We start from the raw sequence: 12,696 nt of genomic DNA, 5'->3' as shown, positions 1-12,696 counted from the left end.
TTTTTTTGATCAGATAGTTTCCCAGTACTTATCAGAGATCAGAGGATAAGGGCTTTTTGACTGAATAAGCATATGGAAGGTGAGGGAAAAGAAGGGAACAGTTCATTTAAAGTATTATATACTTTAAGAGAATACAGTAAATGGAAAAGCAACATGCATGACCCCTTTGCAACTTCTTTCCGCCTTAATTCCCTCAGCTAAAAAACAGATTTCAAAACAGCTATGATGATTGTACCATATGAAGAGTTAACTCCTTTTGTGGTAACAGAATACCCAAAGGCAAAGGGGCTAGGAGAGAAAGCCTCCAGGAAGTAAGAGGTCCAAAAAGGAAAGCTTAAGGACACAAAGAACAAAATTAATTCACCAGGAAGGGCTGCTAGAGTCCTGGTGTTGACTTCACTAAATTTTAACTAAATTACAATCCCCTTCCCACAAAAGCCTCTGTGGCCATGTCTTCTGAAAAAGATTAAGACTGATTCTGTAGTCCATCTTAGACATTCTAAAAAGATTACATTGAGTTTTTTGGCATTTCACTTACAGATTTTCTTCCCAATTTTTCTAACATGTGAAAAGGGAAAAGACATCTGTGCAAAGATTTTACTCTAAACAACTGCTTGCTCCCATGTAGATTCGTTCTGCAACCAAGTCAAAGGTTCACTGGCACTAGAATAAGAGATGTGAAAACATTTTACTTTTTATTGCCTTTAGGATTTCATTTCCACACCTCCTCAACTACCTTTTATTGCTCATCCTAGTTCACTAGTCCAAATGTACTAAGGTGAAATCTGGAAGGGGCCACCTTTCATTGTTTTCTATTTTGTCTGTCTGAATAAGCCTGAGGTAGCAGCAACGTGCTCCACTCTAGCCTGAGTTCTAAATGTTGAACCCAAGCATAACACCTGTCAGGAATAAATATAATTCATATAACAAGTAGCTGGCTCGAGTGGAAAGCCCTAAATCACTAAATAAAATAATTTAGCAATTAATAGAGTGGATTAATATAAAGAAGTCTGCTTCAAACTGTCCAAATATCCCACCTCCCTTTGTACTCATTATAGCCCCAAGCCTTAGCCCGAATCACTAGGATAAAAATTCCTGCCAGCAGATGTCAATCAGGGGAAAGGCCCTGAATTCCTGTACAAACATATCAACCACCTTTCTGTTTTCAAAAAGGTTACTATGGCAACAAAATAAACAACAGATTAGAATAAGCTATGCCATTTGATGAAGTGAGCACATCAATGGCAAGTTCTGGCAGTCAAGTAGCCTTGACAGTCATAAATACCTCCTAAATGAAGAAGGAAAAATCAGGCTCCAGAATCACAAATACCCTACACACACACACACACACACACACTTTTTTTTTTTTACATGAAACCAGTGCTTTTTACCCACTGACACAAATGCAAATACAGTCATGTACCACAAAATGACTTTCCAGTCAACCACGAACCGCATATAAGACAGCAGTCGGTCACATAAGATTATAATGCTGTATTTATACTGTACCTTTTCTATGTTTAGATATAGATACTTACCATTGTGTTACAACTGCAAATACTCTGTGCCCATATCGCCAGAAATTTATTTCATGGTTCTACTAACAAAAACAAATAATAATAATAAGGAATGCTGATACACCACAGAAGGATCCTTGCTGAGTAGGTAGTTCATTTTACAGATGAAGAAAGTGAGTGGACTTGCCTGGGAATCCACAGCTAGTAATTAGTTAATACTTAAGAAAGTAAAATTGATGATGAAATCAATCCAATTCAAGAAATGTTCCCTATTAAAACTCTAAGCTCTCTCACTTTATCTTTTTATTCAGCTAATAAACACCAAAGCTAAAACAGGGCCTCAGAGTTGAAAGCACAATACAGAAAGGAGAAGAGAAACAAGTCTTAATTTGAGTAGGACATAAGGGGATCTTGGGACTTCTAAATCTGATAGAAAATAAAAGGAAGACCACAGAAGCCAGAAAACTGTGTTGGGGGGTGGGGGGAGAACTATCTTTCTTAAACCATGAAATAAGACACAGGTTAACAATTTTAACTGAATGATACTTAAGTTTTCCCCAACTTTTCAAACCTACCACATACTAGCTGAGTGACACTGGGCAAATTATTTAACCCAAGCCTAAAAAAAGCAGGGAGTTAGGGAGGATGAAGAGAGGAAACAAATTTTTCATGCTATTTTAATGTAATTTTAATGCTTCACAGAGCTTTCTGGGATACAAGGCCTAGCTCACAATAGATGCTCATCAAATGTGAGTTCCCATCCTTTTCCCTTCTCAAGAGAAATATTTTTTAAAAGGCCTGAATCCTTCAGTAGATCCAAAAATTATTCCAAGAAACTAAGTGGTCCAGAGTCCCTATTTCAATTGCACAAAATTAAAAGTGTTGCTGAGCCAAAATCAGGATGGCAATGATAGGGGAAGAAAGTTTTTTCTTCATACTTGTGGTAATTTCCAAACGTTTCTGTAATAAACATGTTTTAGTTTTATAGTTAGAAACAACTATTTGGAAAAAGAAAATAAAATGTTTTAAGAAGAGTTTCATCATTCTCATGCTAGAAATAAATATATATATAATATATATTATATATAATATAATATATATTATATATAATATAATATATATTATATATATTATATAATATATATTATGTATATTATATATGTATATTTTATATTATATATATATATATTTTTTTTTTTTTTTGAGACAGAATCTTGCTCTATCACCCAGGCTGGAGTGCAGTGGCACGATCTCGGCTCACTGCAACCTCCGCCTCCTGGGTTCAAGCAATTCTCCTGCCTCAGCCTCCTGAGTAGCTGGGATTACAGGCACCTGCCACCATGCCCAGCTAATTTTTGTATTTTTAGTAGAGACGGGGTTTCACCATGCTGGCCAGGCTGGTCTCGAACTCCTGACCTCGTGATCCGCCCACCTCAGCCTCCCAAAGCGCTGGGATTACAGGCATGAGCCACCGCGCCCAGCCTAAAAATATTTTTAACAAATGTTCTGTCCAATAGCTTGTACTATCCTAGGCTTACCCAGCCCTAACTGTGCAAAATAAGATTTCATAATCATCCCTAGGGAGAGGATAACAGAGTCACCTTCTTAACTAAAGCCAAATTGACCAGAACTCTATTCGTTGTTCCCAAAGACTGTGAATATCTTCTTAAAGGGCAGAATAAAGCAAAGTGAACTATGATAGAAAAGCTCCCTACAATAAGGCCAAGACCCAAGACAAACTCCTTTCCTCCCTCTTCTCCCAATTCAGTCAGAAAATGAAGGCGTGTGTTCACAGCATATGTAAGACTATTTACTGCAGTAATACAGTTTAACAGAAAAAAAAAACTTTTAAGAGACTTGTCAATAAATGGCACCAGAACAAGCAAATATCCACATGCAAAAAATGAACTTATACCCTAGCTTACACCATACACAAAAATAAACCCAAATATGGATCACAGATACAAACTTACAAAATAAACTATGAAATATCTACAAGAAAACATAAGAGAAAATCTTTGTGATCTTGGCTAAGGCAAAGATCCCTTAGATATATGACAACAAATGTATGATCCATAAAAGAAAACATGATACACTAGATTTCATCAAAATTAAAAACTTTTCCTCTTCAAAAGACACCATCAAGAAAATTAAAAGACAAGACTCTACGTCAGAGACTAGGAAAAAATATTTACCAATTATATAAACTAATAAAGGGCCTATATCCAGGATATATAAAGAACTCTTATAACTCAATACAAAAACAGTAAATTTTTTTAATAGGCAAAAGGTTTGAACAGACACTTGACCAAAGAAAATAAACAAATGGCAAATATGAACAGTAAAAAAAAGCTTAACATTATTGGTCATTATCAATACACACCCACCAGAACGGCCATTAAAAAAAAGATTAAAAATACCAAGTATTGGCAAAATGTGTGGAAAACTGAAGCCCTCATATATTGCTGGAGGAACTGTAAAATGTATAGCCACTTTGGAAAACAGTGTTACCCAGCAATTCCACTCCTAGGTATCTACATATGTGAAAACATAATTACAAAAAAGACCTCAAGTGAACAGAAATGTGTAAACCTTCGAATGACACCAATGACATCAGTTTGTTTTGTTTTGTTTTTTTAGAGTTTCTCTTGCTTTCAAACCGTGGGCTCTTATAACTGCTATATCAGTCCCTACAGTGAAATCTACTTGCACTATTTAAGCCACTGCAGAATTTTTTTAAAAATTTCCACCACACTAAGCCATTCCCAAAATTAATCCTTGGCTTCTAAATGGTCATCATTACCTTGGTAGAGGTGAGAAAAAAGAGGCAGAAGTAAACTTCTTCAAACTGCATATATGACAAGAGTAACTGGATGGCTCTGAGAAAGCAGCTTTCATAGCAAAAAGGAAAGTGTGTAAGAGAACTTGATGCAACGCCCTGTTGACAACTTTGTCACTGTTTAGATACTCCCCTCCCTTTTAGGTACCTGAATGACCTCAGGTGAAAACTGATTTTGAAAAGAGTCATCTATGCAAATCCTAGACAGAACATTTTTTACTGATGAATATAGAAAGAAGAAAGCTCCTTTATCTATTTGACAAGCTCTTTTTCATCGGCCTGTTTAAGATTTTGCATCAGCTCTTCAGTATCAAAGTCAAGATCCTCCCAGATAAAATCCATGAATTTACAATACAGTCAGTAAGTTACAATAACAGCAGCATTTCAGAACACATGAATAAATTCCAGGAAAAGGGAAATTTAAATTAAGAAAAAGTTTTCATCTATAAAACAGAAATATGCCTGACAGAAACAGAGCTATAAAGTTGTGTGAACAAGTCTATAACAAGTAAGCTAGCTGAGGACCTGCTAGTCATGGTCAAAAGAAAAGGCAAAGGGAGGAGATGACCATTGTGTGTGCTTAGAGGAAGGGAAGGGCAGAGACATTCTGACTGGTTCTTCTATATGAACAAACTGGTTCAGCTAAAGTAATTGCTAAATACATAAAGGGTGGGCACAGAACACTGCCAACACTGAAAGCTTTGTTAGGTGTTCTTTTTCCTTTACAGTAATTTCCAAATGCTTCCTTAACTTTTCAGTGACAACCTGGTTTTTATTTATTATTATTATTATTATTATTTTTTATTATACTTTAAGTTTTAGGGTACATGTGCATATTGTGCAGGTTAGTTACATATGTATACATGTGCCATGCTCGTGCGCTGCACCCACTAACTCGTCATCTAGCATTAGGTATATCTCCTAATGCTATCCCTCCCCCCTCCCCCCACCCCACCACAGTCCCCAGAGTGTGATATTCCCCTTCCTGGGTCCATGTGATCTCACTGTTCAATTCCCACCTATGAGTGAGAATATGCGGTGTTTGGTTTTTTGTTCTTGCGATAGTTTACTGAGAATGATGATTTCCAATTTCATCCATGTCCCTACAAAGGACATGAACTCATCATTTTTTATGGCTGCATAGTATTCCATGGTGTATATGTGCCACATTTTCTTAATCCAGTCTATCATTGTTGGACATTTGGGTTGGTTCCAAGTCTTTGCTATTGTGAATAATGCCGCAATAAACATACGTGTGCATGTGTCTTTACAGCAGCATGATTTATAGTCATTTGGGTATATACCCAGTAATGGGATGGCTGGGTCAAATGGTATTTCTAGTTCTAGATCCTTGAGGAATCGCCACACTGACATCCACAATGGTTGAACTAGTTTACAGTCCCACCAACAGTGTAAAAGTGTTCCTATTTCTCCACATCCTCTCCAGCACCTGTTGTTTCCTGACTTTTTAATGATTGCCATTCTAACTGGTGTGAGATGGTATCTCATTGTGGTTTTGATTTGCATTTCTCTGATGGCCAGTGATGATGAGCATTTTTTCATGTGTTTTTTGGCTGCATAAATGTCTTCTTTTGAGAAGTGTCTGTTCATGTCCTTCGCCCACTTTTTGATGGAGCTGTTTATTTTTTTTCTTGTAAATTTGTTTGAGTTCATTGTAGATTCTGGATATTAGCCCTTTGTCAGATGAGTAGGTTGCGAAAATTTTCTCCCATTTTGTAGGTTGCCTGTTCACTCTGATGGTAGTTTCTTTTGCTGTGCAGAAGCTCTTTAGTTTAATTAGATCCCATTTGTCAATTTTGGCTTTTGTTGCCATTGCTTTTGGTGTTTTGGACATGAAGTCCTTGCCCATGCCTATGTCCTGAATGGTAATGCCTAGGTTTTCTTCTAGGGTTTTTATGGTTTTAGGTCTAACGTTTAAATCTTTAATCCATCTTGAATTGATTTTTGTATAAGGTGTAAGGAAGGGATTCAATTTCAGCTTTCTACATATGGCTAGCCAGTTTTCCCAGCACCATTTATTAAATAGGGAATCCTTTCCCCATTGCTTGTTTTTCTCAGGTTTGTCAAAGATCAGATAGTTGTATATATGCGGCGTTATTTCTGAGGGCTCTGTTCTGTTCCATTGATCTATATCTCTGTTTTGGTACCAGTACCATGCTGTTTTGGTTACTGTAGCCTTGTAGTATAGTTTGAAGTCAGGTAGTGTGATGCCTCCAGCTTTGTTCTTTTGGCTTAGGATTGACTTGGCGATGCAGGCTCTTTTTTGGTTCCATATGAACTTTAAAGTAGTTTTTTCCAATTCTGTGAAGAAAGTCATTGGTAGCTTTATGGGGATGGAGTTGAATCTGTAAATTACCTTGGGAAGTATGGCCATTTTCACGATATTGATTCTTCCTACCCATGAGCATGGAATGTTCTTCCATTTGTTTGTATCCTCTTTTATTTCCTTGAGCAGTGGTTTGTAGTTCTCCTTGAAGAGGTCCTTCACATCCCTTTTAAGTTGGATTCCTAGGTATTTTATTCTCTTTGAAGCAATTGTGAATGGGAGTTCACTCATGATTTGGCTCTCTGTTTGTCTGTTGTTGGTGTATGAGAATGCTTGTGATTTTTGTACATTGATTTTGTATCCTGAGACTTTGCTGAAGTTGCTTATCAGCTTAAGGAGATTTTGGGCTGAGACAATGGGGTTTTCTAGATATACAATCATGTCATCTGCAAACAGGGACAATTTGACTTCCTCTTTTCCTAATTGAATACCCTTTATTTCCTTCTCCTGCCTAATTGCCCTGGCCAGAACTTCCAACACTATGTTGAATAGGAGTGGTGAGAGAGGGCATCCCTGTCTTGTGCCAGTTTTCAAAGGGAATGCTTCCAGTTTTTGCCCATTCAGTATGATATTGGCTGTGGGTCTGTCATAGATAGCTCTTATTATTTTGAAATACATCCCATCAATACCTAATTTATTGAGAGTTTTTAGCATGAAGGGTTGAATTTTGCCAAAGGCTTTTTCTGCATCTATTGAGATAACCATGTGGTTTTTGTCTTTGGCTCTGTTTATATGCTGGATTACATTTATTGATTTGCGTATATTGAACCAGCCTTGCATCCCGGGATGAAGCCCACTTGATCATGGCGGATAAGCTTTTTGATGTGCTGCTGGATTCGTTTTGCCAGTATTTTATTGAGGATTTTTGCATCAATGTTCATCAAGGATATTGGTCTAAAATTCTCTTTTTTGGTTGTGTCTCTGCCCGGCTTTGGTATCAGAATGATGCTGGCCTCATAAAATGAGTTAGGGAGGATTCCCTCTTTTTCTATTGATTGGAATAGTTTCAGAAGGAATGGTACCAGTTCCTCCTTGTGTCTCTGGTAGAATTCAGCTGTGAATCCATCTGGTCCTGGACTCTTTTTGGTTGGTAAACTATTGATTATTGCCATAATTTCAGCTCCTGTTATTGGTCTATTCAGAGATTCAACTTCTTCCTGGTTTAGTCTTGGGAGAGTGTATGTGTTGAGGAATTTATCCATTTCTTCTAGATTTTCTAGTTTATTTGCGTAGAGGTGTTTGTAGTATTCTCTGATGGTAGTTTGTATTTCTGTGGGATCGGTGGTGATATCCCCTTTATCATTTTTTATTGTGTCTATTTGATTCTTCTCTCTTTTTTTCTTTATTAGTCTTGCTAGTGGTCTATCAATTTTGTTGATCCTTTCAAAAAACCAGCTCCTGGATTCATTGATTTTTTGAAGGGTTTTTTGTGTCTCTATTTCCTTCAGTTCTGCTCTGATTTTAGTTATTTCTTGCCTTCTGCTAGCTTTTGAATGTGTTTGCTCTTGCTTTTCTCTAGTTCTTTTAATTGTGATGTTAGGGTGTCAATTTTGGATCTTTCCTGCTTTCTCTTGTGGGCATTTAGTGCTATAAATTTCCCTCTACACACTGCTTTGAATGCGTCCCAGAGATTCTGGTATGTTGTGTCTTCGTTCTCGTTGGTTTCAAAGAACATTTTTATTTCTGCCTTCATTTCGTTATGTACCCAGTAGTCATTCAGGAGCAGGTTGTTCAGTTTCCATGTAGTTGAGCGGCTTTGAGTGAGATTCTTAATCCTGAGTTCTAGTTTGATTGCACTGTGGTCTGAGAGATAGTTTGTTATAATTTCTGTTCTTTTACATTTGCTGAGGAGAGCTTTACTTCCAACTATGTGGTCAATTTTGGAATAGGTGGGGTGTGGTGCTGAAAAAAATGTATATTCTGTTGATTTGGGGTGGAGAGTTCTGTAGATGTCTATTAGGTCCGCTTGGTGCAGAGCTGAGTTCAATTCCTGGGTATCCTTGTTGACTTTCTGTCTCGCTGATCTGTCTAATGTTGACAGTGGGGTGTTAAAGTCTCCCATTATTAATGTGTGGGAGTCTAAGTCTCTTTGTAGGTCACTCAGGACTTGCTTTATGAATCTGGGTGCTCCTGTATTGGGTGCATATATATTTAGGATAGTTAGCTCTTCTTGTTGAATTGATCCCTTTACCATTATGTAATGGCCTTCTTTGTCTCTTTTGATCTTTGTTGGTTTAAAGTCTGTTTTATCAGAGACTAGGATTGCAACCCCTGCCTTTTTTTGTTTTCCATTTGCTTGGTAGATCTTCCTCCATCCTTTTATTTTGAGCCTATGTGTGTCTCTGCATGTGAGATGGGTTTCCTGAATACAGCACACTGATGGGTCTTGACTCTTTATCCAATTTGCCAGTCTGTGTCTTTTAATTGAAGCATTTAGTCCATTTACATTTAAAGTTAATATTGTTATGTGTGAATTTGATCCTGTCATTATGATGTTAGCTGGTGATTTTGCTCGTTAGTTGATGCAGTTTCTTCCTAGTCTCGATGGTCTTTACATTTTGGCATGATTTTGCAGCGGCTGGTACCAGTTGTTCCTTTCCACGTTTAGCGCTTCCTTCAGGAGCTCTTTTAGGGCAGGCCTGGTGGTGACAAAATCTCTCAGCATTTGCTTGTCTGTGAAGTATTTTATTTCTCCTTCACTTATGAAGCTTAGTTTGGCTGGATATGAAATTCTGGGTTGAAAATTCTTTTCTTTAAGAATGTTGAATATTGGCCCCCACTCTCTTCTGGCTTGTAGGGTTTCTGCCGAGAGATCCGCTGTTAGTCTGATGGGCTTCCCTTTGAGGGTAACCCGACCTTTCTCTCTGGCTGCCCTTAACATTTTTTCCTTCATTTCAACTTTGGTGAATCTGACAATTATGTGTCTTGGAGTTGCTCTTCTCGAGGAGTATCTTTGTGGCATTCTCTGTATTTCCTGAATCTGAACGTTGGCCTGCCTTGCTAGATTGGGGAAGTTCTCCTGGATAATATCCTGCAGAGTGTTTTCCAACTTGGTTCCATTCTCCCCTTCACTTTCAGGTACACCAATCAGACGTAGATTTGGTCTTTTCACATAGTCCCATATTTCTTGGAGGCTTTGCTCATTTCTTTTTATTCTTTTTTCTCTAAACTTCCCTTCTCGCTTCATTTCATTCATCTTCCATTGCTGATACCCTTTCTTCCAGTTGATCGCATCGGCTCCTGAGGCTTCTGCATTCTTCACGTAGTTCTCGAGCCTTGGTTTTCAGCTCCATCAGCTCCTTTAAGCACTTCTCTGTATTGGTTATTCTAGTTATACATTCTTCTAAATTTTTTTCAAAGTTTTCAACTTCTTTGCCTTTGGTTTGAATGTCCTCCCGTAGCTCAGAGTAATTTGATTGTCTGAAGCCTTCTTCTCTCAGCTCGTCAAAGTCATTCTCCATCCAGCTTTGTTCCGTTGCTGGTGAGGAACTGCGTTCCTTTGGAGGAGGAGAGGCGCTCTGCATTTTAGAGTTTCCAGTTTTTCTGTTCTGTTTTTTCCCCATCTTTGTGGTTTTATCTACTTTTGGTCTTTGATGATGGTGATGTACAGATGGGTTTTCGGTGTGGATGTCCTTTCTGTTTGTTAGTTTTCCTTCTAACAGACAGGACCCTCAGCTGCAGGTCTGTTAGAATACCCTGCCGTGTGAGGTGTCAGTGTGCCCCTGCTGGGGGGTACCTCCCAGTTAGGCTGCTCGGGGGTCAGGGGTCAGGGACCCACTTGAGGAGGCAGTCTGCCGGTTCTCAGATCTCCAGCTGCGTGCTGGGAGAACCACTGCTCTCTTCAAAGCTGTCAGACAGGGACACTTAAGTCTGCAGAGGTTACTGCTGTCTTTTTGTTTGTCTGTGCCCTGCCCCCAGAGGTGGAGCCTACAGAGGCAGGCAGGCCTTCTTGAGCTGTGGTGGGCTCCACCCAGTTCGAGCTTCCCGGCTGCTTTGTTTACCTAATCAAGCCTGGGCAATGGCGGGCGCCCCTCCCCCAGCCTCGCTGCCGCCTTGCAGTTTGATTTCAGACTGCTGTGCTAGCAGTCAGCGAGATTCCGTGGGCGTAGGACCCTCCGAGCCAGGTGTGGGATATAATCTCGTGGTTCGCCGTTTTTTAAGCCGGTCTGAAAAGCGCAATATTCGGGTGGGAGTGACCCGATTTTCCAGGTGCGTCCGTCACCCCTTTCTTTGACTCGGAAAGGGAACTCCCTGACCCCTTGCACTTCCCAAGTGAGGCAATGCCTCGCCCTGCTTCGGCTCGCGCACGGTGCGCGCACCCACTGGCCTGCGCCGTCTGGCACTCCCTAGTGAGATAAACCTGGTACCTCAGATGGAAATGCAGAAATCACCCGTCTTCTGCGTCGCTCACGCTGGGAGCTGTAGACCGGAGCTGTTCCTATTCGGCCATCTTGGCTCCTCCCTATTTTTTATTTTTTTATTTTTTGAGACAGAGTCTCGCTCTGTCACCCAGGCTGGAGTGCAATGGCACAATCTCGGCTCACCGCAACCTCCAACTCCCGGGTTCAAGTGATTCTCCTGCCTCAGCCTCCCGAGTAGCTGGGATTACAGGCACGCGCCACCATGCCCAACTAATTTTTATATTTTTAGTAGAGAGGGGTTTCACCATGTTGGTCAGGCTGGTCTCGGTGATCCACCCACTTCAGCCTCCCAAAGTGCTGGGATTACAAGCGTGAGCCACCACATCTGGCTGACAACCTGGTTTTAATGAAACCATACTAATCTTACACAAACATCCATGTGTTTAGGAAGCTTAGCTAATACCAAGAAGGGATGATCAGGAAGTCCCCAGAATTGGGTTTAAACCAAAAAACAAAGGCTAAGGAGTTTGTGGACTGACTAGGCATTCACAGCATTTCTAAGTATCACTGAATGTGAGGTGGTATCATCTTCCACCTAGAAATCGAAGAAAAAGTGTAGGAAAGCGAAAATGCCCACTACCGACAAAGACGTGGAGAAACAAGTGCTCCCATACTTAGATGATGGGAATGAAATAAGAAGTGGTCACAAGCATTTTGGATAAAATTTAACACATTTATATATGAAGATACTTGAAAACGTTCAAACTTTAATCCAGTAATTTTACTTTATCATAAGGAAATAATGTTGGAATTGAGAGGAAAAGTTGTTTTGGAGGGGGGACGTTGCTGTCTAACAACAGAGAACTGGTTAAATGGGATAGCTCCAAAGAACAAAATGATGCTATCCCTTAAAAACAGTACTCCAAAAAAAAAAAAAAAAAAAAAAAACTGTACAGAAGGGAACACAGTGTTAAAGGGGGGAAAAAGGAGAAAATAATGGTATATGATTTAATATTTTAAAAACTATTTTTAAAACCATGTAAGAAAGAGAAAAAAGCAAGAAGAAAACTAAAATGTTAAGTATCTCAAGGTAATGGGGTGTATATTTTTTTTTCTTTCTATATTTTCCAAATTGTAACCATCACCTATATACCTGGGAGGTGGCAGAGAAAGGAGATAGCAGACAATCCCACCACCACCACCTTTCAAAAATATGACAGCAAACTCCCTATCAACCAAAGTAAACAAAGTAGTTAGAAATCTGCTAAGAGCCTCCCCCAGTGTTTTCTGCCCTTTTATAGTAATATGACTCAAAGTGATGGAAATTAGTCCATAGCAACACTGCCAGGATCATGGACCATTTTTTTCACCTTGTATTATATTAGCTTCATAAAAGTCAATTTTGCGAAGTGAATGAAAATTGAGTGGTATAATGAGGCCTTATATCCACTTAGGTCTTTTTCAGATAACAAAGTAAAGTTTTTCCTGGTTTATATACTGAATTCTAACATTCTCCTTGTAAACTTTAAAACTTTCCCAGAATAGTAAAGACATCAATAGTAATCTTTATCACCAGTAAGCTACTACTGAATGATGCTCTAAGAGGGAATTCAGTAGAATTCTCCCGTATTT

At 39.1% G+C, this 12,696-nt stretch overlaps 1 protein-coding gene across 2 annotated transcripts in view, besides 2 other annotated features; it reads right to left on the bottom strand.

Annotated features, from left to right (window-relative positions):
- AKAP13 (A-kinase anchoring protein 13) overlaps positions 1–12,696 on the bottom strand; it is a 368,756-nt gene that overhangs the window by 304,229 nt on the left and 51,831 nt on the right. The gene's annotated exons all lie outside the window — the stretch shown is intronic.
- Positions 4,187–4,376: an enhancer, noted in NCBI's record as "active region_10012". NCBI's record gives its function as "activates an Ori minimal core promoter by ATAC-STARR-seq in GM12878 lymphoblastoid cells {active_cell/tissue: GM12878}" and the evidence as "EXISTENCE:reporter gene assay evidence [ECO:0000049][PMID:35858748]".
- Positions 10,244–11,048: an enhancer, noted in NCBI's record as "OCT4-NANOG-H3K27ac-H3K4me1 hESC enhancer chr15:85977313-85978117 (GRCh37/hg19 assembly coordinates)". NCBI's record gives its function as "activates a minimal SCP1, AML or CMV promoter by ChIP-STARR-seq in primed H9 embryonic stem cells {active_cell/tissue: H9 hESC(primed)}" and the evidence as "EXISTENCE:reporter gene assay evidence [ECO:0000049][PMID:30033119]".

This window comes from Homo sapiens, chromosome 15 (assembly GCF_000001405.40).
Source record: "Homo sapiens chromosome 15, GRCh38.p14 Primary Assembly".
In the NCBI taxonomy this organism is placed as follows: domain Eukaryota; kingdom Metazoa; phylum Chordata; class Mammalia; order Primates; family Hominidae; genus Homo; species Homo sapiens.
Note: the sequence above shows the minus strand (reverse complement) of the source record. Positions and strands in the feature narration are given on the sequence as shown.